This window comes from Homo sapiens, chromosome 20 (assembly GCF_000001405.40).
Source record: "Homo sapiens chromosome 20, GRCh38.p14 Primary Assembly".
NCBI classification, from domain to species: domain Eukaryota; kingdom Metazoa; phylum Chordata; class Mammalia; order Primates; family Hominidae; genus Homo; species Homo sapiens.
The window spans coordinates 5,032,502-5,033,885 of record NC_000020.11 but is presented as its reverse complement, the minus strand read 5'-3'; the positions used below and the strand labels follow the sequence as shown (position 1 = coordinate 5,033,885).

The following is a 1,384-nucleotide window of genomic DNA, read 5'->3' as shown; positions in this document are numbered from 1 at the left end:
GAAATGCTGTGACTGTGGCCTTAGGACAAAAATGCAAAGGGTTTGGGAGATCCGGGGTTTTGCAGCTGTGTAATCTTGGGCAAGTTACTTAACTCCTAAGTCCTTGGAATACCAGAATAAGATCTCTGATTTTTAGCTGAGTTCCACAGTTTCAAATTCCTGTGGTTTGGACACAGGGACCTGGGGATCAGGGAGTGGGGAGGTGGATTTCAGAGTGATATTTTCCAGGGCCTTCTCTTTGACTTCAGTTAGCACCTATTAGATCTGACTTGTACACTGTGCACAGGGATCTGAGCAGTAACACTGTTTGGGAAGCCGAAAGATCCTGTGCTTTAAAAAAAAAACAAACAGTAAACAGTAACTGCCATGGATATTCAACAACCACTGGAATTCTAGAAACATAATGTACTAGAAAAATAAATCCCCAGTGATGTGCAAAATCGATGGGGGAGGAAGGAGACTGGCTTGTCCCTGCTCCTCAAGGTGTGGTCTGTAGACCAGCAACACCAGCATCACCTGGAAACTTGTGAGAAATGCGGAATCTCATGCCCCACCGAGATCTACTGAATCGGAATCTGGGTATTGTTGTTGATGATGTTGCTGTTGTTGTTTTTAAGAGATAGGGTCAGCCAGGTGTGGTGGTACGTGCCTGTAATCCCAGCTATTTGGGAGGCTGAGGCAGGAGAATCGCTTGAACCTGGGAGGTGGAGGTTGCAGTGAGCCAAGATCGTGCCATTGCACTCCAGCCTGGGCAACAAGAGCGAAATTCCATCTCAAAAAAAAAAAAAAAATAGATAGGGTCTTGCTCTGTGGCCCAGCCTGGAGCACAGTGGTGCCACCATAGCTCACTGTAGTCTTGAACTTCCTGGCCCAAGTGATCCTCCTGCCTCAGCCTCCCAAAGTGCCGAAATTAGGATCTGCATTTTCACTTTAAGTAATAGAAATACTTCAAGCTTGGCCGGGCTTGGTGGCTCACACCTGTAATCCCAGCACTTTGGGAGGTCAAGGTGGGAGGATCACCTGAGGTCAGGAGTTTAAGACCATCCTGGCCAACATGGAGAAACCTTGTCTCTATTAAAAATACAAAAATTAGGCCAGGCACAGTGGCTCACGCCTGTAATCCCAGCACTTTGGGAGGCCGAGGCAGGCGGATCACTTGAGGTCAGGAATTCAAGACCAGCCTGGCCAACATGGTGAAATCCCATTTCTACTAAAAATACAAAACAAAATCAGCTGGGCATGGTGGCGAGCGCCTGTAGTCCCAGCTACTCGGGAGGCTGAGGCACAAGAATCATTTGAACCCAGGAGGTGGAGGTTGCAGTGAGCCAAGATCGTGCCACTGCACTCCAGCCTGGATGACAGAGTGAGTCTCTGTCTCAAAAAA

General features: G+C 48.0%; 1 annotated feature.

Annotated features, from left to right (window-relative positions):
• Window positions 640-797: a silencer, noted in NCBI's record as "fragment chr20:5013735-5013892 (GRCh37/hg19 assembly coordinates)". NCBI's record gives its function as "represses an EF-1alpha promoter that drives an FKBP-Casp9 reporter gene in an ReSE screen in K562 erythroleukemia cells {active_cell/tissue: K562}" and the evidence as "EXISTENCE:reporter gene assay evidence [ECO:0000049][PMID:32094911]".